The sequence below is a fragment of the Homo sapiens genome, chromosome 18 (genome assembly GCF_000001405.40).
Source record: "Homo sapiens chromosome 18, GRCh38.p14 Primary Assembly".
In the NCBI taxonomy this organism is placed as follows: domain Eukaryota; kingdom Metazoa; phylum Chordata; class Mammalia; order Primates; family Hominidae; genus Homo; species Homo sapiens.
In genome coordinates, this window is record NC_000018.10 from 49,929,764 (window position 1) to 49,957,167 (window position 27,404).

At 44.4% G+C, this 27,404-nt stretch overlaps 1 protein-coding gene and 1 pseudogene across 1 annotated transcript in view; both read right to left on the bottom strand.

Moving 5' to 3' along the window:
* The window catches only part of MYO5B (myosin VB), a 372,359-nt gene that overhangs the window by 106,975 nt on the left and 237,980 nt on the right, over window positions 1–27,404 (bottom strand). The window contains exons 13-16 of the mRNA NM_001080467.3: window positions 24,550–24,672; window positions 23,497–23,580; window positions 7,482–7,634; window positions 6,489–6,586 (exon numbers count right to left, since the gene is read on the bottom strand). Coding sequence (NP_001073936.1) covers window positions 6,489–6,586; window positions 7,482–7,634; window positions 23,497–23,580; window positions 24,550–24,672 — 458 coding nt within the window. The remainder of the gene's footprint in view (window positions 1–6,488; window positions 6,587–7,481; window positions 7,635–23,496; window positions 23,581–24,549; window positions 24,673–27,404) is intronic.
* RNA5SP457 (RNA, 5S ribosomal pseudogene 457) lies at window positions 16,503–16,626 on the bottom strand (annotated as a pseudogene).

A 27,404-nucleotide genomic window follows, 5' to 3' on the forward strand; every position in this document is an offset into this window, starting at 1 on the left:
ACTAAAAGACACCAATGTGCAGGCACCTGAGCCATCTCAGCATCTTCTGTTCTGTGCCTGAGGCTTTTGTGCACATTCTCATTATCACCTGGGATACCCTTCTTCTTTGCCCACCCGAATCCTCCCCACCCTCCAAGACTCATCATTCCTGCTCCTCTCCAGAGCCTACTCTTACTGTTTTTATCCACAAGGGCATGCATCTTCACTCACTGTCCCAAGCATATATGCTTAGCCCCATTATTTGGCTCAAGCATTAAAAGGATGAGTTTCAGACTAGGCAGATCTGGGTTTCAATCATGACATGGTCACTTACCAGCTGGGTGTCTACTTTGGGGCAAGTCACTTCATGTCCCCTTGGGCCTCAGTACCCTCATCCATATAATGGGGGAAAACAGCAGTACCTATTTTATCAGGTTAGTGTGAAGCTTAAATGTAATGGTCCCTGAAAGCAGGTGGAACCATGCCTAGCACTGCGTAGGGCACATACGTTGTGTATGCTGTTAGCTATGATCACAACAGCTGTTCAGTTAAGAATCATGTAGATGAACTTCATTTACATTATTACAGATTACTTTCCAGTCTTCAGAGATATGTGCACCATTTTCAACCACTCACATGTCCTACAAAGCTAAGGCTAGCACTCAAAACCCAGTATGTTTTTAAACATATATTGAGTATGGCAGTGTAGAATAAAAAGCCAGATGCTGTGTGAGCTTTCTGAGTATCCCCGCTTGAAGAGGAAATTTTATACAAGACAGTACATAACAAACATGGTGAAAATGCCAAAAGAAGCCAGAGAGCAATTGTCTGAGGTTGTTAAACACAAATCATAAAAACTAATAAGAAGGGCTGGATGCGGTGCCTCATGCCTGTAATCCCAGTACTTTGGGAGGCCGAGGTGGGTGGATCACAAGGTCAGGAGATCGAGACCATCCTGGCTAACACGGTGAAACCCCATCTCTACTAAAAATATAAAAAATTAGCTGGGCGTGGTGGTGGGTGCCTGTAGTCCCAGCTACTCGGGAGGCTGAGGCAGAAGAATGGCATGAATCCGGGAGGCAGAGGTTGCAGTGAGCTGAGATCGTGCCACTGCACTGCAGCCTGGGTGACAGAGTGAGACTCTGTCTCAAAAAAAAACACTAGTAAGAAAAAAAAAAGAAGGCAGAGAGCAAGACATCACCATTGTCTAGAGTAAGCAGGGAGTCTTCATAGAGAAAGAATTAAGGCAACCTAGAATTAATCACTATTTTTAATTTGCTAAGATTACTGCCCCACTCCATCAGAAGGGACGAGGAACAAATGCTCCCTTTCCTTCTGACTGTCCTGCAGCTCAGCTGGAGCTAAGAGTCATGCTTCTTTTCCTCCTTTCACTCTGGGACATGGTGCTTGATAGATGGTGCCCTGGAGCTGCCTGGGCTCAGTGGGTACTTGGCACTGGAAAACAGTGGGCATTTGCCAAGCAACTGATGACTGCAAGATGCCACCTCAACCCAGGCAACACTCCACGTTGCACATCAGCCCTGGGTCTCATCCCATGAGACACCCACACTCTCCCCTCCAGGCTGTGCTCACTGTGGCTTCATTGCTCCCCTCTGCCCTCCCAAGCCCCACCTTCTTTCCACACCCATCTTCTCCATAAAATCTTCCCGACTCCTCCAGCTCCAACAGCCCACGGCACTGAGCATGTGAGGCACAACGGAACACTGATTTACACAGCTCTGAACAAAACATTTCCTTCAGAAGACTTCATCTTTCTAACTAGAGTAAAAGCCCCTTAGTGCGAGGGCCTTACAGGACAGCAGGGAGTATGTGCTGAGCACCTCACTGCCTGCTCACCCTCTCACTCCAATGCCTCCTGTGGTTGCTCGGCCACAAGAGGAAGCACAGTTCCAGGATCCAAGGGGGTCTTCATTACCAGGGGCGGCAATGACCAGTCATAAGCAGCTGCTCGGCTGCCCATGACTGCGAGTGATCAGAAGCCTTCGGGCTGCGGGCTCCCCTGCTCACAGGCTCTCACTGCTAAAGCTGTCAGCCAGGCCCTGCAGCATGAAGGCAGAGCGGACACCCCTGTGCTTTGGAAAAGGCATCCTGTGGCCTGCAGACCACCTCCCCAGGCACTCTGCCCCTGCCCACAGCAGCTGTGTTCCCCAAGCCAGCCACCGGCTTCTTTCCTCTGCTCAGCATGACCACAGGGTCAAGTTCAGCCCATTGCACACACCAGGGATGGCAGCGTGTTCAGGAGCATCTGGGACCCTTAGGTCCCACATGGGCTATGGGACCAGCTGGAGGTCCCTTCTTCTTCCAGGACCTCCTACTGTTTCCTCATGGTACTAATAAAATGAGCAGAAGCTCATTGAGAACCCCGTCATTCCTTAAAAGTACTGCTCCTCCTCCCCATCTGTCCCCTCCCTCTCTGTTCTGGTATCCCCACATCATGCTTCCTGACCTCTGGCATCCCAGTTCGGTCCTGTTGAAGGGCCAGGCAATGGCTCACTTGGTGCTGGTCCCCTCCCCTCACACAGCACAGCATGAGTTTTTGAGGGCAGGGTTGGGGACATCGGTTTTCTCTTAGAGTCTCCACACAGCGTGCCTGGAGCTGGTCCCCAGAAGGCACCTGGCACAGAGTTTTTGAACTCAGCCTTAACATTGTTCCCTCTTCGTGACCAGCTCAGCAAATCCCCTCCCTTTGCCACACCTGTTCTGTCCTCCTGTGATGGCAACACTGCTTTCCCCTGTGGTCTGGGGCAAAGAACTCAGTGTGGCCTCCGCTCTGCCACTAACAGGTAGTGTTACTTTGGGCAAGACACAGTCTCTCTGTACCTCATTTTCCTCATTTACTCAATGAGAGCTCAACATATCTGCCCAACTATAAAGCAGTGGTGGCTGTAATGACTATGTTACAAAAACAAACAAACAAACAAACAAAAAAACAAGAAGAATGCTTTTAGAAAAAGCTAAGAGACACTATACAAAGAAGATATTGCCATCATCTTTCCCTGTTCACATATCCCAAGGGGATATGGGAGGCCAGCTGGCCTTCTGTACTTCCTCTCCCCAACAGTAAAGAAAACCCACCGTCAAATGCATCTCTCAATCCGCCTCACTGCTTTCACTATTAGGTGACTAGGAATGGAAAACCAGCCCTCCTTCTATTAAATCTTGGAGGACCATAGCAAGGACAATTAACATAGAAAAATCACCAAAGACATAGAAGGTCACAGTGCTGAAACTGAAGTTCATGCTTTCCTCTCCCAATAGGATTAGCAGACCCTGGAGCCTGCTGGATGCAAAGAGAGGATCCCACTGTGTTAGAACCGAGCCCTACCTCCACAATTGCCCGCCATGGAATTGATTTCTCCATGGGCTGCAAGCTCCCTACCTGCTTCCCCAGGCTCAGCAGCATCCTGCAGTCACATCTCAGAACTCTGAGACTCCGAGACCTGGGCTGGCCTTCGGAAAACCAGTGACCAGGTCCTCCACAAAGCGTTCCCAGGTTATGACAACCGCCCCAGGCCACTGCTGCTCTGGATACTTCATCTCTCTCTTGCCTCTGCCCTGTCAGCACTTTCACAGAGCCACCGACAGCCACTTCTGTGGCATTGCCAGTTACTTGTGACAGACAATTCCTTAAGCATAGGGGACATGTCTTATTGTCATTCTACCTGTCCTAGCCCAGTGCCTAGTAAGAGGTATGATAGATGTTTCTTAAATGAAGAAAGCAGAGGAAAAAGCCTTTTGTATAGGTCATGCTATCAAAGCATTTAATGTGGGACAGGAGTTCTCAACTGGAGGCAATTTTGTCCCCAAGAGAACATTTGGCAATGTCTAAAAACATTTTTAGCTGTCACAATGATGGGATGCTTGTAGCATCTAGTGGGTAGAGGCCAAGGATGCTTCTCAACATCCTATGATGCACAGGACAGCACCCCTTGCCCCAGCAAAGAATTCTCTGACTCAATATGTCAGTGCTGCTGAGGCTGAGCAACTCCGATTACAGGAAATGGGTGGAGAGACACAGAAACTTCCTTCTAGGATGATGTAACTAATAACTGTAATCACATAAATTTTTATACTCTCATGAATAATTCCTATTCAGATTCTTTCATCAGGATACTTATTTTTATTTTTTTGAGAGATAGTCTTCCTCTGTCATCCAGGCTGGAGTGCAGTGACACAATCACAGCTCACTGCAGCCTCAAACTCCTGGGCTCAAGCAATTCTCCCACCTCAGCCTCTGGAGTAGCTGGGACTATAGGCATGCACCACCATGCCCAGCTAATTTTAAAATTTTTTGTAGAGGTTGGGTCTCGCTATATTTCCCAGGCCGCTCTCAAACTCCTTGCCTCAAGTGATCCTCCTGCCTTGGCCTCTCAAAGCACTGCCATTACAGGCATGAGCCACCACACCAGGCCCTCATCAGAATTAACAGGTAAGGAAATGAGACACAGAGAGCAAAAGACTAGCTTGCGACTGGCCAAATCAGCAGTGAGCTCAAACTAGACACAGAGAGCAAAAGACTAGCTTGCGACTGGCCAAATCAGCAGTGAGCTCAAACTAGAATCCCGGTATCATGACATGGTCAGTATTCCTCCCACCTTTTCTTTGTATTGGGAGGAAGATTTTGGTTCTGAAGATAAGGCAGTGTCTTAGAAAAGTGGGACCTCAGGACTAGAAAGTCCCCAGTGTCTTCTCTCCTTTGAGAGGGGAGACCCAGCAGAGTATCTGTCCCACAGCAGGGACACGCTCTGATGAGGGAAAGGCCCAAGGCCACAGCTGGTCTGGCCCAGCTGGTATAGAGCCCTCATCTCCTCTCCCCTGGGCCCTGCACAGCACTCTGCCCTTCACACAGAATCTGAGTCTTTCACACACACTACGCTTCTAACAGCCTCTTCTCTTCTGGAGTCAGCTGGTAAACAGAAGCCACCCAGGGGGAATTCCTAAGCATGTCTCAGAGATTTGGAGGAAGGGAAGAGCAAGCAAGCAGCACACTGCAAAGAAAACTGGTAACATTCTGTCTCCTTAACCTTTTCCACACAGAGCCCATCTGAATGGAAGCCAAGCTTTATTACATGACCAGAGTGTAGAAGGCAGTTCAGATATTCAGTCTGAGAGTCAAAATTGTCAAAGTAAGTTATTTCACAGAAAGAAATTATACTAGGCCCGAAACAGAAATCATGGGGAAGGAAAGATGGGAATAAGGTGCTTAAAAAATTTAAAAATACACCTCCTCTGGCCAGAGGGAACAGCATGCGTGAAGGCCCAGAGCAGAAGAGACTGCAGAGCTGAGTGAGAGGATGTTTTTTAAAGGTTTAAGGTAGTATTTCAGGCAAGAAAAGAGGATCTGGAACAAGGTGAATAAGGAAGAGAAAAGGGAGACCAGGGTGAGGAACGTGCATGGAGACTTCATGGGACTTTGACGTCAGTTAGACACTGGGAAGTGAAGGAGACGGAAGAATCAAGGGTTAAACCATGCTGTATGGTGGCCACTAGCACCTCGGGGTATCCAAAATAAATTAAAATGAAATAAAATTCAGAATTCAGTTCCTCACTCACACCAGACAGGTTTCAAGCACTCGATAGCCATGCGTGACAAGCGGCTCCCACACTGGATAAGGCAGATGACAGCACATACCCATCATCACAGGGATTCCCCCTGCACAGCAGGTTAGAGAGAACTTCTAGTATGGGAGATCAGGTCTCATGGGTGGATGAGATAACAGGAAATGTTATGCCTCTTACTACAACAAAGACCAATGAAAGAGGAATCATTCTTGGGGGGTGGCAGGAGATGAAGAGTGTGGTCTCAGATGTGCTGAAGGCAAGGTGGATAATGAAGCTGTAGTAGGCTTGCACAAACACTTGTCTGGAATTTAGTAGAAACCAAGATGTACAAAGATCATTAAGAGTTCTACAGATTAGGGTGAGGTCAGCCACATGAGCATGGACAGAACCGGAACAAAGTTTCAAGGTCAGGGTAGAAACAAAAGTTGGATCAGAGTAGGTTGAGGAGTGAGGAAAAGGGGAGCAAATGTGGATAATTCTGGAAGCTTAGCAGCAGATGGGAATGTGAGAAACAGGACCATGTTCATGTCCTATCGTCCAACACATCATGTGAGGTCTTGATTCTTCAACACAAGAAAAGCCTTTCCTGACCACTCCAGCAACCTTTCCAAGCCTGAATTTAACACTTGCTGTGAGATGTACTCATGGCTACATTTAACGTTCTCTATTTTATTCAAGCATGCACATTCCTGACCACCACTATACGGGGAACGGCATTTTTTCTCTTAAGACCTCCTGGACAGCAGACTGGTGGCACTCAGCAAGTGTCTGTCAGTCTGTCTGCAGCAAGTAAGATGTCTGGGGAGTGTAAGTCCAGGTGGTCATCATGCTGAAGGCCACAGACCCCCAGGCAAGGCCTGGGCCACCCTGTTCCACCTGAACCTCTAAGGCTGGGCTGGACAGGCTAATGCCCAGCAGGCACTTACTGAAAGGGGAGCTTCTCATCGTTGGGCTTGATGCAGCGGACATAGTGAGGTGTCGTGGCATTCAGGGTCTCCATGAGCAGATGCAGGGAGGTACGGAACTAGAGAGACAAAAGCCAGTGCTTGGTTAGTTTTAACAAGTCGTGGATGTGTGATAAAGAAAAACTCATATATGGGTGGCGGTAGTTATTGTTACTATTATATTATTAATCCAGAAGGATGGAAGAAATTTCAGAGACCTGGGGTAAGATTCCAGCTCTGACACTGCTATCTTGCTGTGACCAAAATCAAGTCCTTCCTATTTAAGGGTTCCTTGAATTACATGGGGGACAGACTACCCCCTAATGTGCCTAACTCCCAGTGCTGTGGATCAAATAAGATGAAAGGTGGGCAAATACTGTAGGAGAGATTTGGTCACTGTGCACCGGAAGCCTGCTCTTCCTAAACCTGAGGGCCTGGGACCCTGACATCCGATGCCTGGGTATCCTGGAAATAATTTGTTATACTAAATGTCCAGAATGGCAAACTCATAGGAACAAATGTTAGGTGGTGGCTGCCAGGGACTTGACAAGCATTCTCTTCTCTTCTCTCCAGAGACACAATGGGCAGAACAGCCACAGAGACCCCACAGCAGGAGAAGTTGCTTTTAGTCTCCTGATCCACAGCTTCCTTAAGCCTCCTCTCTAACCTATAAATTCCAGGCCCTCTTGCCTCCCACACTAGGTGTCTTTGGCCCTGTGGCACAGCCCCACCACAGGCGTTAACATACTTATGGAGGCTACGGTCGGCCCCTTCCCTCCTCCCTCTGTTAGTTCCTTGTGGTGAAGGTATTGGAGTTTCCTTCTTCTAAGGACACAAGATAGAGCTGGATGGCTGAGGCTACTGATGTCAAGGCTGCTGTGATGGCTTCCCTCTCACCCTGCCGCCATCCTTCATCTACAGAGAGGCCAGCCCTGCACATGCACCTCAGCCCATAGCTTTTGGTCCGGGGCTGACCTGGTGGCCAACGGTTTTCTTGTGCTCCTTGTTGGAGACTTTCATGGGGGGTCTGGCAGAACGGACGCTGATCTTCGAAGATGACCCCTTCCCAGGGGTGGTGGCAGGAACAGGGTCCTTGTCATCATGAAACAAGTCAGCCACTAGTGGGAACTAGAAACAATCACAGGAAGAATGATGAAAGTGACATCTCCTGCACCTTACATGTTTCCTCTCAAAGCTGCTTTTCAACATATACCTGAGAACGGAAAACACACATCCACGCCAAAACCCACACACCAACCTGCACAGCAGCGTTACTCCCAAAAGCGCCACAAGGTAGGAACAACCCAAATACCAACTGATGAATGGACAAACAAATGTGGTACCTCCATACAATGGATTATTCAACATTATTAATAAATTCAATATAAAGAAATGACCTCCTGATCCATGCCACAACATGGACACACCTCAAAAAAATTATACCAAGTGAAAGCAGCCAGACACAAACGTTCGTATAGTGTGTGATTCCATTTACATGAAATATCCAGGGAATAGAAAGTAGGTTATTGGTTGCTAGGGGTTGGGGGAGAAAGGGGAAGAGGAAGGGGAAGAAGGGGAGAAAGGGAGTGCCTGCTAAGGGGGACAGGATTTCTTTTTGGAGTAATAAAAATATTCCCAGACTTTTAGTGGTGATGACTGCATAAATTGGTGAACATCCTGAAACCCAGTGAATTGTGTGCTTCAAAAGGGTGAATTTTGTAATGTATGAATGACAATTCAATTTTTTAAATGGTAGGAAAAAAGTTGCTTTCCCATACAATCTCACTCAATCTTCACCTGCAAAGATGCGCAGAACTTCATTTCCTTGTGGTGTGGTAGGAGGTGGCTATGCTTTAATACACCTAAGTTTAAGTTCTATTTTTCTACATTATTGCATCTTGTCAAGTTAACTTCCCTGATACCTGTTTTCTCATCAGAATAGGGATAAGCCTATGCCTGTTATATGGGGTTGTTATGAATACTAAATAAGAGGTTAATATCTTCATCTGTAACAAGGTGAAGATGCAGGCCTTGGATGAGGCGCTGGTGACAGAGTCCCAGCCATCAAGAAGTTCAGTCTGACAGGAACACAGTCCTGTCATCATCCCTTGGGGAAGTCAATGCTGGGGCTAGAATAAAGTATTACAAGGCTTTTACCACACTCCTGCAGGGGTTGGGGGAAAAGGAGGGAGGGAAAAGGAACATACAGGCCCCATTCACTAACCTTGAGCAATTCCAATCTCAACAGAAGAGAGGCTAAATGCTACAGCCTCAGATGCTAGGCTCTGCTCCTTCTCACCTACCCTGTGCCCTCTTCCTTTAACCCCCACTTAAGTGCATGGCTCCCCTCTCCTGCCATTGTGTCTGAAATCCCTAGTCTAGTGTCTGAGGACTCCCTGATCAGATCCCACTCACCCCTCTCAGACAATACCTTGCAAAACCATCCAACTGGTCACGTTGCTGTCTCATAGGCACAATGCTCACTACTCCTGCCTCTATACCTTTGCTTACTGTGCTATTTTTACTTGAAATACCCCCACCCCTTTCTCTTCTATACTTATCCTGAGAGGCCCCTCTCTCAAGGTTGAGCCCTGCCCCTCCCGTGACCCTCTCCCAAAGCACCCATCACTCCTGTCTGTGTCTCCCACAGGCTCTGTGGTGTCCTGGGACACCCTCACCCCCTCAAGGTCTGTGTTGAATCCTGAGCTCTACACTTGCTGAGACTTCCCTTCCTCCTGAGAACAAGGGCTGAGGAGAGGACTGAATGAGAGAATCCGTGTAAGCATGTAGAAAAGTGTCCAGCATATAGGGCTCAGACATTATCTAGTTTTATTACTTTTACTAGGGGTTATATACATTAACACTCTTTCTTTTTTTTCTTTTTTTTTTTTTTTTTTGAAACAGTCTCGCTCTGTTACCAGGCTGGAGTGCAGTGGCGCAATCTCAACTCACTGCAAGCTCTGCCTCCCAGGTTCAAGCGATTCTCCTGCCTCAGTGTCCCCAGTAGCTGGGACTGCAGGCGTGCACTACCATGCCCAGCTAATTTTTGTATTTTTAGTACAGACAGGGTTTCACCATGTTGGCCAGGATGGTCTCGATCTCTTGACCTCGTGATCCGCCCGCCTCGGCCTTCCAAAGTGCTGGGATTAAAGGTGTGAGCCACCATGCCCGGCCTACATGAATGATCTTTCTGAACCACGTAAGTACAGATGCTTAAGAAAGTTGTATTTTTGATCTGAAGAAACAACATAGAATTTTAGATCTGGAACAAATGTAAAGGTCAACTTTCACCTCCATGTGGCAGGTGAGGATGTAGGCGACTGGGGAGAAGGAACCTACCGGAATCCTGCTCCAACCTCTGTTCCCTCCACCACCAAGCACAATGGTCAGCACCAGCTCTCAAAGGGCTGCTAGTCAGTGGCTGAGCCTGGGCTAGAACCTCGGCCTCCGGATGCCCAGGTCAGAATTTGTTTCAATACAGAAATATAGCCTTGTCATTTAAACCCACAATATCAAGGAAGTAGAAATATAAAAGGGCTTCAGATATAGCCTTGACTTTTGAGGTACTTGCAACAACAATTAAATACATAAGATAACACTTCCATGAAACATTTCTCTAGCTGACATCATCTCCTGAGACTTGTAGGAGATTCAGGCTAAGGCAAGCTACCTACTGAAGATGCAGCATCATCTTCATGTATGGCTACAGGTCCCATATAGCAGTGACAGCTCATGCTCTGGTGATGCTCTGCACTGCCGAGACCTTCAATAAATTAAGTTCCAGCCTAGTGGAGTATTTACTGAGTACCTACAAAGGCTTTCATATCAACAGCATCATGCCAAGAGCTTGGAAAGAAAGAATCATGTAAGAATAGGTCCAAAATTCACAAAATAATTCACTATTCTAGGTGAATTCAAAAAGTCCTAGAAGCATATCAAAACAACGCAATGAGTATGAGCTTTTTCACATTACAGTCTACAGTGGGCCCTGGCTCATCTCCCTTCTGCAGTCAGAGATACCTGACAGTACAGAGTCATGGTATCACATCAGCACATTACAGTGTCCAGACAGAGTAGCAAGATGGTGCTGGTGGCATACTAGAACTGTTCTCAGAACCTGTCAGATTCAGGTGACTTCGCACACTCAAAGGCAGTTTCTGCAACCTTATTAGGTACCTTTGTGCTGGAGTTCCAGGGTGATATGATGGGGGTTATAAAACACATGATGACCATCCCATTTCCATGGGGCTTCTTGCAACCTGACCTCACTTAAGGCAGGCATAAGACCATCAGCAACTACCCAGGTCACGTCCAAGGAGAAACTGGAGAGATGCAGACACTTTGCTCAGTGAACCCCCCTCAGTCTGACGACTCTGGTATTTTTCACATATTAAAGTAACCCATATCACTTCTAGGCCTTTTGGATAAGATCAAGCATAAAGCAACTTGTATGAATTCCACGGATCCAAGGGTTTGTTTTCAGCAAGACTTAAGCCTCACCTTATGCAGGAACACTTCACTATCACAGTGGATTAGAATGAGTGTGCCCACCTGCACATACGTACAAGGTTACAATGCCTAATGTTTAAAACAGCACCTAATGCTGGTGAAAATTATGGGCTAATCTTCTACATCAAGCATTTTAAACTAAAAACATACAAAAAAATTAGTTCCTCTTACCTCATTCTTAGTTATTACAAAGTTCATACATCTTAGTAGCTTCAGTTTTAGAGTCAAGAGAAATTAACACAAGTCAGTGTTTTGTTTTACACAGCACAGGAGCTAGTCTAATGGGTTATAAAGCCATGAAACAACTGTGTTTCATGTGCACCTACATGGACAATCATGCGGGAATCAACACGTGTCAGTTTCACTTTTCCCTCACACTCCTCATTTCTCACAGACACACCAACCATTAGAAGCATCCAATTTCCATTTTCCACCAGAGTGACTTGCATGCAAATAAAAGTTGCAGTTCCTTAGTTCCCTGGCCTGGGTTCTAAGTTCAGTCTAAAAGCACCAACCAATGATCTTAAGGCCATCTCTGGTGAGCAGCCCAAGCCCATTCTCACTGCTGGCTATTCTGTGGCTACAATAGGCTGCTGACACCATGATTAGCACTAGAGAATGCTACCATATTTCTGAGCAAAGCACACCTCAAATCCCTGCTTGAGGGCATGGAAGGGATAATCCTATTCACAATATGCAGAGTCTAAATAGCTCCATGGAAGGAGATAAAGAGACAAATCCCTGCTAAGGATACTGATGATATTGTTGTCAGGCAGGTACCCTGGAGGGTACCCCAGTGAGATCACTAAGGATGCCCCCAAGTGTTAGCTGCCAACAGGTGACAATTCTGTTCCTATTCTCAGCTTCTCAGCATCTTTGAAATAAATTTTCCTCCCTCTCGATACAAACAAATGGAAGAACATTCCATGCTCATGGGTAGGAAGAATCAATATCGTGAAAATGGCCATACTGCCCAAGGTAATTTACAGATTCAATGCCATCCCCATCAAGCTACCAATGACTTTCTTCACAGAATTGGAAAAAACTACTTTAAAGTTCATATGGAACCAAAAAAGAGCCCGCATTGCCAAGTCAATCCTAAGCCAAAAGAACAAAGCCAGAGGCATCATGCTACCTGACTTCAAACTATACTATAAGGCTACAGTAACCAAAACAGCATGGTACTGGTACCAAAACAGAGACATAGATCAATGGGATCTATGTCTGAGGACAGAGCCCTCAGAAATAATGCTGCATATCTACAACCATCTGATCTTTGACAAACCTGACAAAAACAAGCAACGGGGAAAGGATTCCCTATTTAACAAATAGTGCTGGGAAAACTGGCTAGCCATATGTAGAAAGTTGAAACTGGATCCCTTCCTTACACCTTATACAAAAATTAATTCAAGTTGGATTAAAGACTTAAATGTTAGACCTAAAACCATAAAAACCCTAGAAGAAAACCTAGGCAATACCATTCAGGACATAGGCATGGGCAAGGACTTCATGTCTAAAACACCAAAAGCAATGGCAACAAAAGCAAAAATGGGATCTAATTGACAAATGGGATCTAATTAAACTAAAGAGCTTCTGCACAGCAAAAAAAAAAAAAAAAAAAAAAAAACTACCGTCAGAGTGAACAGGCAACCTACAGAATGGGAGAAAATTTTTGCAATCTACTCATCTGACAAAGGGCTAATATCCAGAATCTACAATGAACTCAAACAAATTTACAAGAAAAAAACAAACAACCCCATCAAAAAGTGGGCGCAGGATATGAACAGACACTTCTCAAAAGAAGACATTTATGCAGCCAAAAGACACATGAAAAAATGCTCATCATCACTGGCCATCAGAGAAATGCAAATCAAAACCACAATGAGATACCATCTCACACCAGTTAGAATGGCGATCATTAAAAAGTCAGGAAACAACAGGTGCTGGAGAGGATGTGGAGAAATAGGAACACTTTTACACTGTTGGTGGGACTGTAAACTAGTTCAACCATTGTGGAAGTTGGTGTGGCGATTCCTCAGGGATCTAGAACTAGAAATACCATTTGACACGGCCATCACATTACTGGGTATATACCCAAAGGATTATAAATCATGCTGCTATAAAGACACATGCACATGTATATTTATTGCGGCACTATTCACAATAGCAAAGACTTGGAACCAACCCAAATGTTCAACAATGATAGACTGGATTAAGAAAATGTGGCACATATACACCATGGAATACTATGCAGTCATAAAAAAATGATGAGTTCATGTCCTTTGTAGGGACATGGATAAAGCTGGAAACCATCATTCTCAGCAAACTATCACAAGGACAAAAAACCAAACACCACATGTTTTCACTCATAGGTGGGAATTGAACAATGAGAACACATGGACACAGGAAGGGGAACATCACACACTGGGGACTGTTGTGGGGTGGGGGGAGGGGGGAGGGATAGCATTAGGAGATATACCTAATGTTAAATGACGAGTTACTGGGTGCAGCACACCAACATGACACATGTATACATATGTAACAAACCTGCACGTTGTACCCTAAAACTTAAAGTATAATTAAAAAAAAAATTTTCCTCCCTCTCTTCATGCATGGCATTTCAAAGTCATAAATATTGTCTTTTTAGATGGCAAGGTAACTAGTGAGCTGTCAGAAATAAAAACACAATTTAAGATCTGTGGCTAAAATCCATATGCCAACATCATAAAAAACCGATATTTGTATTAGGTACTCAATTCCATGTGCAGTCAAAGCAGAGAAAGTAAATACTAGGTCACTGACTGTCAAGAAACTAGATTGACTAGTTTGTGCATTCATTCATTCATCCACACATTATCCATCAACACTTACTGACGCTCAAATATGCAACAAATGTTGTGCTAGGAACTGGTAAAACAAAAGTGTTATAGAAGAAGCCTAGCCTCTTCTATATCATGGAGTTTATGGTCTAGCATGGAAGGTGAATGCTAATGAAAATAACCCACAATTAAAAACATAATGACAAGAAGATGAATATCCTAAAGGAAATCAACAACAAAGATGCGACTAAATCGGGGGTCTGGGATGTGGGAAATGAAGACAGGATTCTCTTAGGGAGGGAAGTCTGAACTGTAGGACATTGGATGGGGAGGACAGCATGTTATGGGGTGGAAGTAATGGCACCTATGAAGGAGCTCTGTGCATTCGGGGGGCTAAGATAAAGCTGGTCAACGTACAATGTACACAGTGAGAAGGAAGCAAGAGGGACTAGCTCATGTAGGCCTCAGTTAAGAATTTTTATTTTTATCCTAAGAGCAATGGGAAGCCATTAAAGGGTTAAAATAACAGGGGCTAATATTTATTGAGCACGTTGACTATGCCTGGCACACATGAACTCCTCCAAGCCTCCCAGTGGTGTAAGCACCATTGCACTCTATTTTACAGATGAGGAAACTGAGACTTAGGGCCCAAGATCACAGAGCTGTACGTAGCATAGTCAGGATTTGAACCCAGACAGCCTGTCTCCAGAGTCCAAGCAACAATGCACCACAGAGAACGGCAATGACTAGAACCAGCAATGGCAGTTCTTTCTAAACAGATCCCTGGCTACAGCATAAGGAAGAGCCCACTGCACATGAAGCCCTGTCCTGGGTGCCTAGAGGAGTCAAGGGAGACCATGGAGACCAGAAGAGCTTACAACCTAGCAGTGAGCTCAGAAGTAATGAGGTATAGCAGGAAGGGCATGGGGCTGGGTCAGGAGACCTGAACTTTAGATATGACCCTGCAACTTGATAGCCGTGTGGCCCATGGCAAACCTCTCAGGCTTACTAGATTTTAACTTGCTCATTTATATAAATGGAAGAGCTGACCAGATGATTCCTTTAAGTCACTCCCTGACCTGGATTCCTGCATTTTCTTATACTTGAATCACTCCATCCCCTGGCTTCTATCCACCAAGCATACAGCTACGTTCAAGCTTCTCTGTTGCTTCAAACCCCTCCCTGTTCAGCCTGTCTCTCTTCTCACTTTACCATCGATCACCTCGAGCAAGGCATCCACAGACAGACACCGCCTTCCACGCCGCTCCTCCTCAGACCTCCCTCCACCAGATGGCCTCCTCCCCATGCTGCTGAAATGTACCTTGAAAGCAACTCCAGTGCTTGTCAAGTCCAATGGCTAGAAGTGGTGTGCTTTCATTTTTGATCCTACCCGACCTCTTCAAAGGCCTCTGTGCCACTGGCCCACGCCTCCTTGTAAAGGTCCCTTCCTGACACTTAGCAGTTCTGCTTCCTCTAATCTTCTCCCTGCCCGGCGCCCTTCCCAGAACCTCCCACGGGGCTTTTTCCTGCACTTCCATCCTTTGCATTGCCATTTTCCAGAGCCTCATCCTCACCACTTACCTCAGTCCCTGGGGACAGTCTCCCCTAGGCCATGGCTCCAACCATCCCTCCCAGATCCTGCCACTCCAGTCTGGATCTTTTCCTGTTACTATGATTCACAATTCCAGCTCGCTCTTCTTTCCTCTAGGTGTTCCACTGGGAACTCCGAATTCAATACAGCCCAAACCACCTTCACCCACTGACTTCCTAGGTTAGGCTAGAATCCTGTCCTCACCCTACTTCCTATATCTCAATCAAGTACCAAGTTCTGCCCACAGGGGAGTATCATGCAGTCCTTTTTTTTTTCATTAATCTGGAGCTGGAGCTGCTGCTCCAGCTCAGGACTACCCAGCTCTCTCCTGGATCACTACAGTCACCGAAAGCGTGAGGGCATACCTCCGGGCACACCTTCACCCAAACACATTCCAACCAACAGCCAGAGTTTTCTCTGGATGCAAACCTTATCCAGTAGCCACATGTTAAAGGCCCATTTGTTTGTCCTCACTGTCTATGGCAGAAAGCCATAGATGAACAGTGTTCAGGTGAACTAAACACTGAGAGTGGCAGGAGCAGAATGGGCTGGTGGAGGGGAGGAGGGGAGGAGGAGGAGGAGGAGAGGAGAGCTGGGCCTGGGGGCTCCATGGACCAGGGCCAGAGAGCCAAGACACAGGTAAGAAAGGACAAAGTGGCCCGTCAGACTGGTGCTGAGAAAGCTCCATGGGGAAATAATGGGAGGCTGGAGGCAGGTTCACATTTTGAAGATGCCATTGTGATTCATGCCTGTCTGTCATGGCAAAGCAAAACACTGGCTTATTAAATAATTCTAATTCATATACTTTCTGAAGTGAATTTTCAAGATGTTTGAGGCATGGGTAGAAGTTACCAATCTGCATAACTATACTATTGGGTAGTGGGGAGGGGGTTAAATTTACAGAAATCATTCATAGTAGCTTTTACTGTAAAAAAAAAAAAAATATTAAGCCCTAAGGTCATTAACAGGTACAGATTGAGTATCCGTTATTCAAAATTTGAGAATTTTGAGACCAGAAGTGTTTCAGATTTTGGAGAATTTACATTATACTTACTGGTTGAGCATCCCTAATCTGAAAATCCAAAATGCAAAAATACTCCAGTAAGCATTTCCTCCCATCCATGCACTAACCAGGCCCGACCCTGCTTAGTTTCTGAGATCAGATAAGCTCAGGCACGTTCAGGGTGGTATGGCCGTAGATGCATTTCCTTTGAGTGTCATATTGGTGCTCAAAAAGTTTCAAATTTTAGAGCATTCTAGATTTGTGATGCTTGATCTGTATGAAAAATCACACTAGGAACTTGGAAATCAGAATCACCAATGGGAGAATTTTAAGATTTCAGCCCCTTTCTCCTGCTTCCATTAGAAAGGCTATCTATGCTTTTAATTTTATACATTAAACAGGGACTTTGTAACTTAAGAACAGAAAGTAAAAACTGTCCAAGGCAGATTTGTACCTAAGCTGGCACTGTGCTATAATCTGGAATCAACATAATCAAGGTTTAGTCTGAAGAATTTGTATGTTATTTGAAAAGCTAGGTTTTCCTTTAAGTTCCTGCTGTTGAGACTGCCTTTGGCAGTGGCAGGATCTGGGATTTAGAGGGAGATGACTGTGTTGGAATATTAGTTCTCAAAAGGAGGTACCAGTATGCTTCGTATTCTATTCAAAATTTGTTTTATAAACTCAAATGAACATAAGAGATCTAGTTTGATGACAGGACTGAAAGACTAAGAGATACCATGTTCAACGCTGGGCTGTAGACATCCGCAAAAGACCCAGGCAAGAAATACAAATTATGGTTCCATCCACACCCATCCCTTAAGAAGATTGGGCTACGTAAGGATACCTCACCTGAGAAGTGTCCCAACTATACACAAGCCCAGAGTCACAATGAAAAGTAGTCACCAAGCTCTTTTTTTTTTTTTTTTTTTTTTGAGACGGAGTCTCACTCTGTCACCCAGGCTGGAGTGCAATGGCACGATCTCAGCTCACTGCAAACTCCACCTCCCGGGTTCACGCCATTCTCCTGCCTCAGCCTCCCGAGTAGCTGGGACTACAGGCGCCCGCCACCACGCCTGGCTAATTTTTTGTATTTTTAGTAGAGATGGGGTTTCGCCATGTTAGCCAGGATGGTCTTGATCTCCTGACCTTGTGATCCGCCTGCCTTGGCCTCCCGAAGTGCTGGGATTACAGGCGTGAGCCACCGCACCCAGCCGTAGTCACCAAGCTCTTACTTGACAAAGGACCCATACAAAGGATCACATTTCTGAGCGAAAAGAAGTTTTTAAATTTTTATTTTTTAATTGACGCATAATAACTGTACATACATGGGGTACCTAGTTTTGACATATATAGTGTATAGTAATCAGATCAGGGCAATTGACAAACTCCAATTATGTGTTTAGAGTTATTAAGCAGTCTGTTTATAAGCTGACTGAGCAGTAAGAGAGCTGCCACAATTTACCTTAGGGCAGCCACCCGGGCATTTCTCACAATTTGTCCCCTTCGAACTCAAACACTCAAGCTAGCACCTCCAGACAAACCAATATTTTCCTGTCACTTGTTTAAAACCTGTACATAGGGACTGGCTTTGGTATTCTCTGCTATTCATTCCTATATATAGCTTTTAAAAGCCTGGGGCAAATCAAAAAGGGACTAAGAAGCATGAAAAAACTTTGTAAAGGCCATTTGGCAGTTTAAAAAAAGTCAACGTGCAGGTTTGTTACATCTGTATACATATGTATACATGTGCCATGTTGGTGTGCTGCACCCATTAACTCGTCATTTAGCATTAGGTATACCTCCTAATGCTATCTACATACGTAACAAACCTGCACGTTGTGCACATGTACCCTAAAACTTAAAGTATAATAATAATAAAATAAAAAGTCAATTACAGCTGACACATAGCTGTTACCTTGGAAATCACACCTACTCATTTGTGTTTATAAGAATATAAAAGATATTTCCTCTGAAACAGACACATAAAGTTAAAATAAGACATAGTATAAGAACAGTTTGGGTGGTGTCTCTTCCCCAGAATCTTTTCTTTAAAAAGAAATCTATGGCTGTAAACATAATAAACACATTTTTCCTTTCAATCAATTCTTTTTACATGACTAATGGTACCCTTTGGAGGGAAAAATCTCTGACATTTAGATGAATATTTTAAAAGGGTTTTAAATAGGCTTTGGAGGAAAAGTCTCAGTACTTCATTTTTTTTGGAAGACAACATGGACTCTCCTGTATCATAAGGGAGACGATATTGTTTTGTCAACTAAAAAGTTATCCTACATAGTACCCTGCTTGGTTTAAGTATTGGCAGAAGCTTTTCAAATACCAGCACATCTTAAACAGGAAGCAAAGTACATTTGAGAACATTTTATAGTATGTTTATTATCTCAAGCTCCTATTCAGAAAATAAGTTAAAAAATTAAAAGTAAACATAAGATTTTTAAAAAGCAAACTTATTTGGTCAAAACAAGGTGTGTGTATATAACCTTTTAAAAACACATCAGTGTGGAAAGCAATGGACATGTGTACTTGTCATTCCTTGACAAGCTGAAGTCAAGCCATAAGCAGCAGGAGGGAGAAGGGGAGTGAACACCTGGGCCTTGTGTGAGCTGTTCCTGCGACTCCTGTGCTGTAATTTGGGTACCAACATGACCAAGGTTCAGTCTGGTGAATTTGTATTTTATTTTAAAATCTAGGTTTTAATTGTAGGTCCCTGTCATTGAGACTGCACTTGGAAGTGGTAGGATCTCTGAGATTCAGAGGTGGATGAGTTTGTTGGAAAATTAATTCTGGGAAGGAGGTGTAGGGTTCATGAACTCAGGGTAAGTAGCTTTGGGCCAAGGTGGTCTCTGGACCACATTCATCTCAAGATCCCTTATGCTGGGATAGAGTGGAAAGATGGCACTGGGATGCCTGTCCCATAGCCCAGAAATACTGCCCAGTACACCCTCACTGCCCAGCACATGCTGGCACAAACACGTGACCCACAGCTTGTCCCTCTGACCTACATGTAGTGGTGGCCAGGAATAGGCAATCTTCAGAGGAAAAACATTCTCCTTTTAAAGTTTTCTTTTTCTCCTGGTTGATAAATTATTCCTTTTCACAATAAATAAAAACTGGAAAACTGGAAAAAAAAAAAAAGGAAAACCTCCATCCTTTAGTATTTAAAGAAAATGACTCTGTTAATAACTTGAAGTCATGTTTTAAAGAGGCATCTCTTTACTTAAGTCTCTATTTACAGCTCCGATAGCTGAGAAAGCAATTAGCTACATTACAACCGCTCAGACAATGGAACTGGCTTCACTAATTACATTCTCATTAACACCCTGTTATTTCACTGCTCGTAGTGGGAGTTCTTCGAACATCCCTTTGGTTGGTAGAGTATATGGGTGTCTTCTATCCCCTACTGCTTAATTATTCATGATGACTTGTTAATTTCTTATCAAGGATGTCACCCAACAGAAAAAAAAAGTCTCTCATAAAATAAAAGTACTTTAGGTAAAATTATGAATTTACAAACAGGATTTGAGATTTAGCTGTGCTAAATGAAAACCAATAAAAAATTAAGCGTTACAATTTTAATGTAATGACATAGAAACTTGTATCTTTCTAGGTTTTCATTTTTCTTTAATATGGAGTTAGAAACATATGCCTCATAGGGCTACTATGAAAACTAAAAATTTTAAAGAAAATAGACTCATCACTCAGTAAATGATGAGCTTTAAAGATACTAAAATGACAGATGCTGCCAGACATGCCCATCTGCCCAAATGGTGTAGAGCATACTTAGAATCACTCTTTGATTTGCAGCTGCAGTCTGTGTATAGCCCATCTGCAGGTTTATGGTGATACAGCAACAATCTTTGCTTTCTGTCTTTTGAGACGTCTGAAACAGGCTAGGAGGGGCTCAGGGTAGAGAGTTCTCAAGCCCTCCTCCAGCTAGGGTCTGGTTAGCCAGAGCCCTTCTTGGTTAATCTCAGTGCTGCCAGCCAACATCACCACATCTCAGGGTTGTTGCTGGGATGGGGACAGGGGTGGCAAAAAGGTCACTGGCTCTTTAGACGTTTTAGCTGGTGAGGGGGAAAGCTAGCATTGTGGTTAGTGGGCAGGAAAGAGGAGGAGGAAGTTGCATTTCAAGAGTAGATCACACCTATTTTGTCCTCCAACTTAGCAACATCTATACACTTTTGATGTGCATACTCTTTGAACCATCATCAATCTGCTTCTAAAATTTTACCCAACAGACATAATTGTACAGAAGTATGCAAAGATATACATAAAGGATATTCATTGCTACATTATTTGAAATAGCAAATTATCAGCAGTTGTTTAAAAAAGAGAAATAGATGTGTACTCGTGTGGAAAGACAACCAAGATACAATGGTAACTGAAAAATTAAATTACAGAGGACTACGTGTCTATAATGTACTTATTTTAATCTTAAAAAGATGTACCAACATGCAGAATAGGGTATATTCTGACCCATCAAAAGATGGGTCAAGGAGTGGGAAAGAAGACTTATTTTATATATTTCTACAATACTTTAATTTTTTATGAGCTTACATTTAATTTCTAATAAAAACCCAGTACCTGCAATCTAAAACAATATTCTTGTATAGAAAAGAGCTAACACAGCAGGCCTGCATCTGCTATCCTTAGAAAGGCTGCTTGACCCCTGGCTGGTGTCAGGGGAACTTGGATTTTTACCATTCCCTGATAAGAACAGTTCACTGTGCCTAAATTGTTCATGCAAACAATAATTTATGTTGAGCATCTGCTTTCCTTCTGGGAGTTTGGAATTTTGGTTTGTGCTAGGCTAAGGGTGCCTACATAATCAACCCCAAATAAAAACCCTGGCCGCCTGGGCTCAGGTGACCTTCCCTGGTAGGCATGTCAAAAGAAGTGTCATGACTTGCTTCTAGGGGGAATTACGTGCATCCTGTATGACTCCAGGTGGAAGGGACTCTTGGAAGCTTGTGCCTGGTCTCCGGGAGACGTCACCCCATCCACCTCTCCCTTTGCTGAGTTTGCTGTTTACTTTTTGCTGTAACAAATTATAGCCATAACTATATGCTAAGTTCTGTGAATCTTCCTAGCAAATGGTTGAACCTGGGGGTGGTCCTGGGGGCCACCAACCTACCCTTATCATTCTCTTCCATAGCACCTTCTTCTTGACCTTCTTAGCGTTACCACAGTTTGTAATTAAACTGTGCATCTTTTTCACTAAGTTCCATGAGATTAACTACATGTGTCGGTTACCACTATATACTACACAAATATTCAATAAAGCTGATAAATAAAAATAAGGGAAAAGCAGCTCAGCTATTAATAAAAGATAACCTGCTGGAGAGTGAATATAACAGAGTTTTCCGGGCACCACTCCTTTTTAGATTCTGGAATCCCTGAGAGTCACTCAAATTAAGATGCTCAGAAATCAACACAATGGCAGAACCAGACTCTGTATTAAATGAAAAGTACCCACCTCTCTTCTCTCCATCCCTCGTTTCTGCTTCTAATCTGAAAGGACAAACTTCTACTGAGACAACAGAGTTTTCTGGCCCTATAAGTTGTCACAGGCCTCCAGGCATCGTAAGAGACCATCGTGAGGAAGGGGATCCTAGTGCTCAGAACACTTCCATCTACTCTCTTTCCCTGTGCCTTGGGGCTCCTCCCTATGCCACCATCCTCATGAAAAAATGGAAAAAGTCACATTAACCACCACAGACTGGAGATCTAAAAACTTAGGGAGCTGCAAGGTCAATCTTGCATTGAACTCCAAAGTGATATTCACTTTTACCCACGGCCAATTTGTCCCAGTGATGACTAATTCTCTGATGTTCCAGATATCCAGAGATCACACTGGGCAGGGGTCTGTTCTTGGCAGTCTGCATGCTGCTACTGACTCAAATCCTCCCTAAACCCCTCACCACGTGATAGAACAGGGTTTACTTGGCTTTATGTCCTGGGTCCATTTTGCTGGATATATTTTCTCCATTCTATCATCTCATCCTATTGCATTCATCTAAAGCTTATCACAAAGAGAAATTAATCTGCCATTTCTCCAATGTTATCAGGCCCCTGCAGTGAGTTCAGTATCATGTGGTCTGGGAGAAAGCCTCCTAAATCCTGGGAATTTCCCCCACCCCCGGCCCTGGGTTTCCTCTGCAGGGCTAAAGCCAGTAACGGCATCTGCATCAGAGTCGGCTTTTAGAATGCCAGTGCACACGCTTCCCCTGACTCTACCACCCTCTCCCCGTGCTCCTTCTCTCCTTTCACAGTTACCTGTGGGTGTCTTCATCTGCCCACTCACAGCCCATTAGAAGGGGAGCAACCAGAGTGCAGACTCTGTCTTGCTCATCTTTGTGTGAAAATGGTGTGTTTAGGGCAGTGCCTTCCAAAGCAGGTGCTTAGTAAATATATGTTTGGGTGAATTGGTGCCTTCTTTCCTCTACCTGTAGAATGGACACAATATTTGCTACCTTTTTCCTATGCTTGGAAATAAATGAAATTCTGATAATAACAGAGAAAGAGTCCAAAGTAGTAGATTTAAGTGTTCCTTAAATCCCACCTTCTATTCCATTAAGTTTCTGCTTATAGAGAGGTTCTATAGACTGCTGAACAAATTAAATGCAGATACTAGATGTGATGGGGTTTAAATAATCTTACATCTGCAGGCAGGAGACGGAGGACAGATGACATGATGGACACCAGCCACATTTCCATCACTGCGCTCACCGTCCTCTCTTCCTGTCACCTCCCATGCTCCCCTATCCCCTCCATTAGCAGGCATCTTTCCCAGTTTTCTCCCCCTACCCCTACACTCCTTGCTTTCTTCCCTCCATCAGGCCATACTAAAGTGTTTTCAGACAAGATTGGACACATTCACAGTGGTATGGCCATTCAACTGTTTTCATACCGAAATGACCAACAAACCCGTTGGCCTCCTCCCTGCCCAGCATCTCTGTCTTTCCACCCCAAGGAGGTTGCATCACCACTCCCTGTCCAGCACTGGCCGTGGGCATTCCTGCTCCACTCCCCACTTCTGACACTCTTTACCTTGCTGGCCTTCAGGATATTGATCTGCTCTTCATACACCGTGTCTCTGTTTTTCTCCAGAAAACCATCAGAGAGGTACTCCACCTGGGGCCACAGCAACCAGAGAGAGACACAGTCGTTAGTGCTTCAGCAGTTTCTCAACCACTTTCATCTCATCCAGGTAGCATTTTCTGAAAAGAGCTGTGAGTAGATAGGAAACCCACAGATGTTTCCACTTAAAATGCAAACCCAATAAATGGTCAGGATTTACATACAGGGAACTGAGTATTCATTTTGTGGAAGAAATTGTTTTAAAGGGAGTTCCCATAATAAAAGGTTTCTTCAGGGATCTATAAATGCAGCTTCTCAGCCACACCTCACACCCAATGAATCAATCTGTATTTTAACAAGACCCTAGGTGATTCATACACACACTGCAATTTAAGAAACACCGAGCTAGTGCATAGCAAACAGAAATCCACTTAGAAAAATTCTATGCACCCACCAGCTACTGAGAAAGCAGCCCCCTGAAGAGCAGCTACACAGGCTCCAGGTAAGAAGCCAAACCATTTGGTACTTTGTTTACAGCCCTCCCTTCTCTCTCAAGCTCCATGAGGGTAGACTGTTAACTGCTTTAGAATTTATATATACATATATGTGTGTGTGTGTGTGTGTGTGTGTGTGTGTGTGTGTGTAGACTATATATATACAGACATGTGTGTGTGTGTATGTGTGTGTGTATAGACTATATATATACACAGACATATATGTGTGTATGTATTTATATGTGTGTGTGTGTGTGTGTGTGTGTGTGTGTGTGTGTGTGTGTGTGTATTCATATATATATATGAATGACTGGGCAACTATAGTACCCCCTGTGAAGTTATGCCTTGTGGTAAGCTTGGTATCCCCTAGAAGTAGAGGGGTGGGTAAAAGAGGATGGAAGGGGAACCTAGCTGAGGCTTCAGGCCATTTGAATTCAGAAGGGACAGATTTCTCTCTAGGTCTAGAGCCCATTGAGTCTACTTAGAGAGGGGCCAAGGGAATACCCGAGCCAACAGAGAGGAGAGCCACCTTGTCTGCAAAGTGGACGATGATGAAGGCCGTGTTGGACATGCGGGGCTTCTGGAAGTGCTGGCTGCTGGAGTGCCGGTCATAGAGCTTCTGAGCCCAGTTCTGGTCAGTTCCTTTGGGGACCTGCAGAACCACAAGATAGGGCAGAGCGCTTTGTGAAGAGGAAGAAGGAAGCCCTGGGTTGCAGCAGAGGGATGGGACCAGTAGGCTGGCTCTGTGAAGGTTGATTCAGCCCTCGAACCAGGACCTTAACTGGACGGTGCAAAGAATGATTCAACCATACATGTTCAGGATCCGGCCACGGCGTGCCCTCATCCCATGTGGGCTGGCTCCCTTGGGACCTGTGGGAGCAGCTGAGCCTGCTGGTTGGCAGACACTGGAAGTGCTAGGGAGGATGAGGGTGAAAGCCAAGGTCACAGGAGCAGAGTCACAGCCTGCAGGACCACCTGAAGGTACTTCCCTGCAACTGGGGCTGTGACATCAGCATCACAAAACACATCCACCTGCAGTGCCAAGCTCACCCACTCACCCAGGTGAACTCCTGCCACAGGAAAGCCTACCTTCCCTCCCTAAACTCACCTAGATACCATTGTCCAGGTTTGGCTCAAGTCTGTCCTTTCCTGACCACTGTTGATCTCACTTCCCTCTTCTTTGGAATTCCTCACAATCAAGCTCTTACACATGCCCTAGAATATTGTGCACCCCTGAGTTTTGGGTTTCATCACTACAAACTGTAAGTTTGTTGTGATCAAGGACTGGCTGTGCCTTACGTTGCTTATGTGTCCCTGAAAGAACTTAGAACTGGGCTCTGGCCATGCAGTGAGAACTAAGTACCTAGTGAGTGTTCTACATGGTGCTAATCTCTGCATCTCTCACTGTCTAAAGTCAGACTTAGAGGCTCCACTGCATTAAGAATTCTGAAGGGCAGCCCCTTTCAATATCTTTATGGATGGCTTTAAAAGTAAAAAGCATCTTACTTCATTGAAAATGTAACAGAGTCACCGTAACCACCACTCAAATTGTCAAGGATGACAGCAACTCTTCCAATGGGAAGGTGCTCCCTCCTCTGTCATCCCTGGTCATCGCTGCACACACTTACTGACCAGTATCAGTCCAGTCCTCAGTGACGGGTCACTAACTGACCTGCCCTTCTTTGGTTTAGATTGCATATTTGGATCAGGAAGTGTTGATGGTGACCCTTGCACTAGCCGTTTACAAAGGGATTTTTATGGTAAACTAATAAAATCCGCACCATAAAGAAAATGCTTACATACTTGGGAACCAATTTCTTAAATCCTTTGTAAGCAAACTGATTTTGCTCAAGATTCATTTTGGCATAACTAATATTGAATACTCAATGCTAAACACCATAGGAAATTCAAGAAAAGAAAACTATCTTGAAGGAGGCTATTAATTGCACTGGGCAGACAATAAAATATATTTAATTCAGCACTTTCCATATATACTGTTTTATATTTGTCTCCAAGCATTCTGTGTTTAGAACCACCGGGTGTGAAGGAAGGAGTGGTCTTCCCAGTATGGCTGTCAGGACCGGGTGGGACAGAGGACGAACACAAGAGGGACCTAGAAGGACTGGCAAAACTGGGGCAGACAGAACCATGGTGGGAAGCCCACATAGGCAAACACGTAAAATTGGCTAGGAACAAAATCTTCTTGCCTTGGAGATGAAATTGGACTTCTGTGAGAAGACTTCGTAATCCTGCATATTCACTAATTCAGATTGGCATGAATTAATAAGCAGAGGAAACCAACAACCAAGGTCAAGTGTATACATAATTTTCTGACAAGGATCAGTCTCTCCTTTCACTGTCCACCCCACCTCCAACCAAAAATAAGGGCCGGCAGGAATTAACAATGATCAAGAGTCTCAGATGATACTCATAGCTAGTGCTTATTGTTTGCCAGGCCATTTTCTACACATTTTAGATGTATCAACTCATTTAACCCTCATACAATCATGTCAGCTAGGTGCTATGTTTGTAAACATTTTAGAGACAAGGAAATGGAGACAGAGAGGTTAAGTAACTTGCCAAGGTCACATAATGGGGAAGTATCAGGTTGGTGCAAAAGTAATTGTGGCTTTTGCCATTAAATAGCAGAGCTGGTGTTCCAAACAGGACAAGTTAATTCTTCCTGCCTGACGACAGAGTTTTAAAGGCTGCCACAAAAGCAGAACAAGGTAGAAGGTGCTTATCTCCAAAAATCTTTCCATAGAAATAGATTTTAAACAGCCACAGGAGAAAGAAAAAAAATCTTATATTTTGATAACTTCTGGGTCATGGATATCGGTAGCTCCATAATATGCAGCTGAACTGAATCCTTTAAAAAGGAAATGCACATACAGCTATATGAACTTCTTTCTGCTCTTCTCAAAGCAACGCAGAGAGACCACTGAGCCAGGAGCCGGGACCATAGCTCAGTCCTCGTCTAGGCAGGTTCTGTCCCTCAGAGGCCTAAATCCCTCTGACCTTGTGGTACTGGCCACTGATCACATCAAAAAGTAAAGGTCCCATCTGTATTAAATGCCCAGAATAGGCAAATCCATACAGAAAGAAAGTAGATTAGTGGTTGCCTGGGGCTGGAGGGGGGCAATGGAGAATAGCTGCTAAAGGGCTTTTTTATGGGGTGATGAAAATGTTCTAAAATTGACTGTGGTTGGTAATGGATGCACAACCTTGTGAACATACTAAAAACCACCAAATTGTATACTTTAAATGGGTGAATTGTATGGTATGTCAATTATATCTCATTAAAGCTGTTAAAAATACATTAGACCTGATTCCACTCCTTGCTAGTAAAATAAAGTAGCAAAAAAAAAAAAAAAAAAAAAAAGC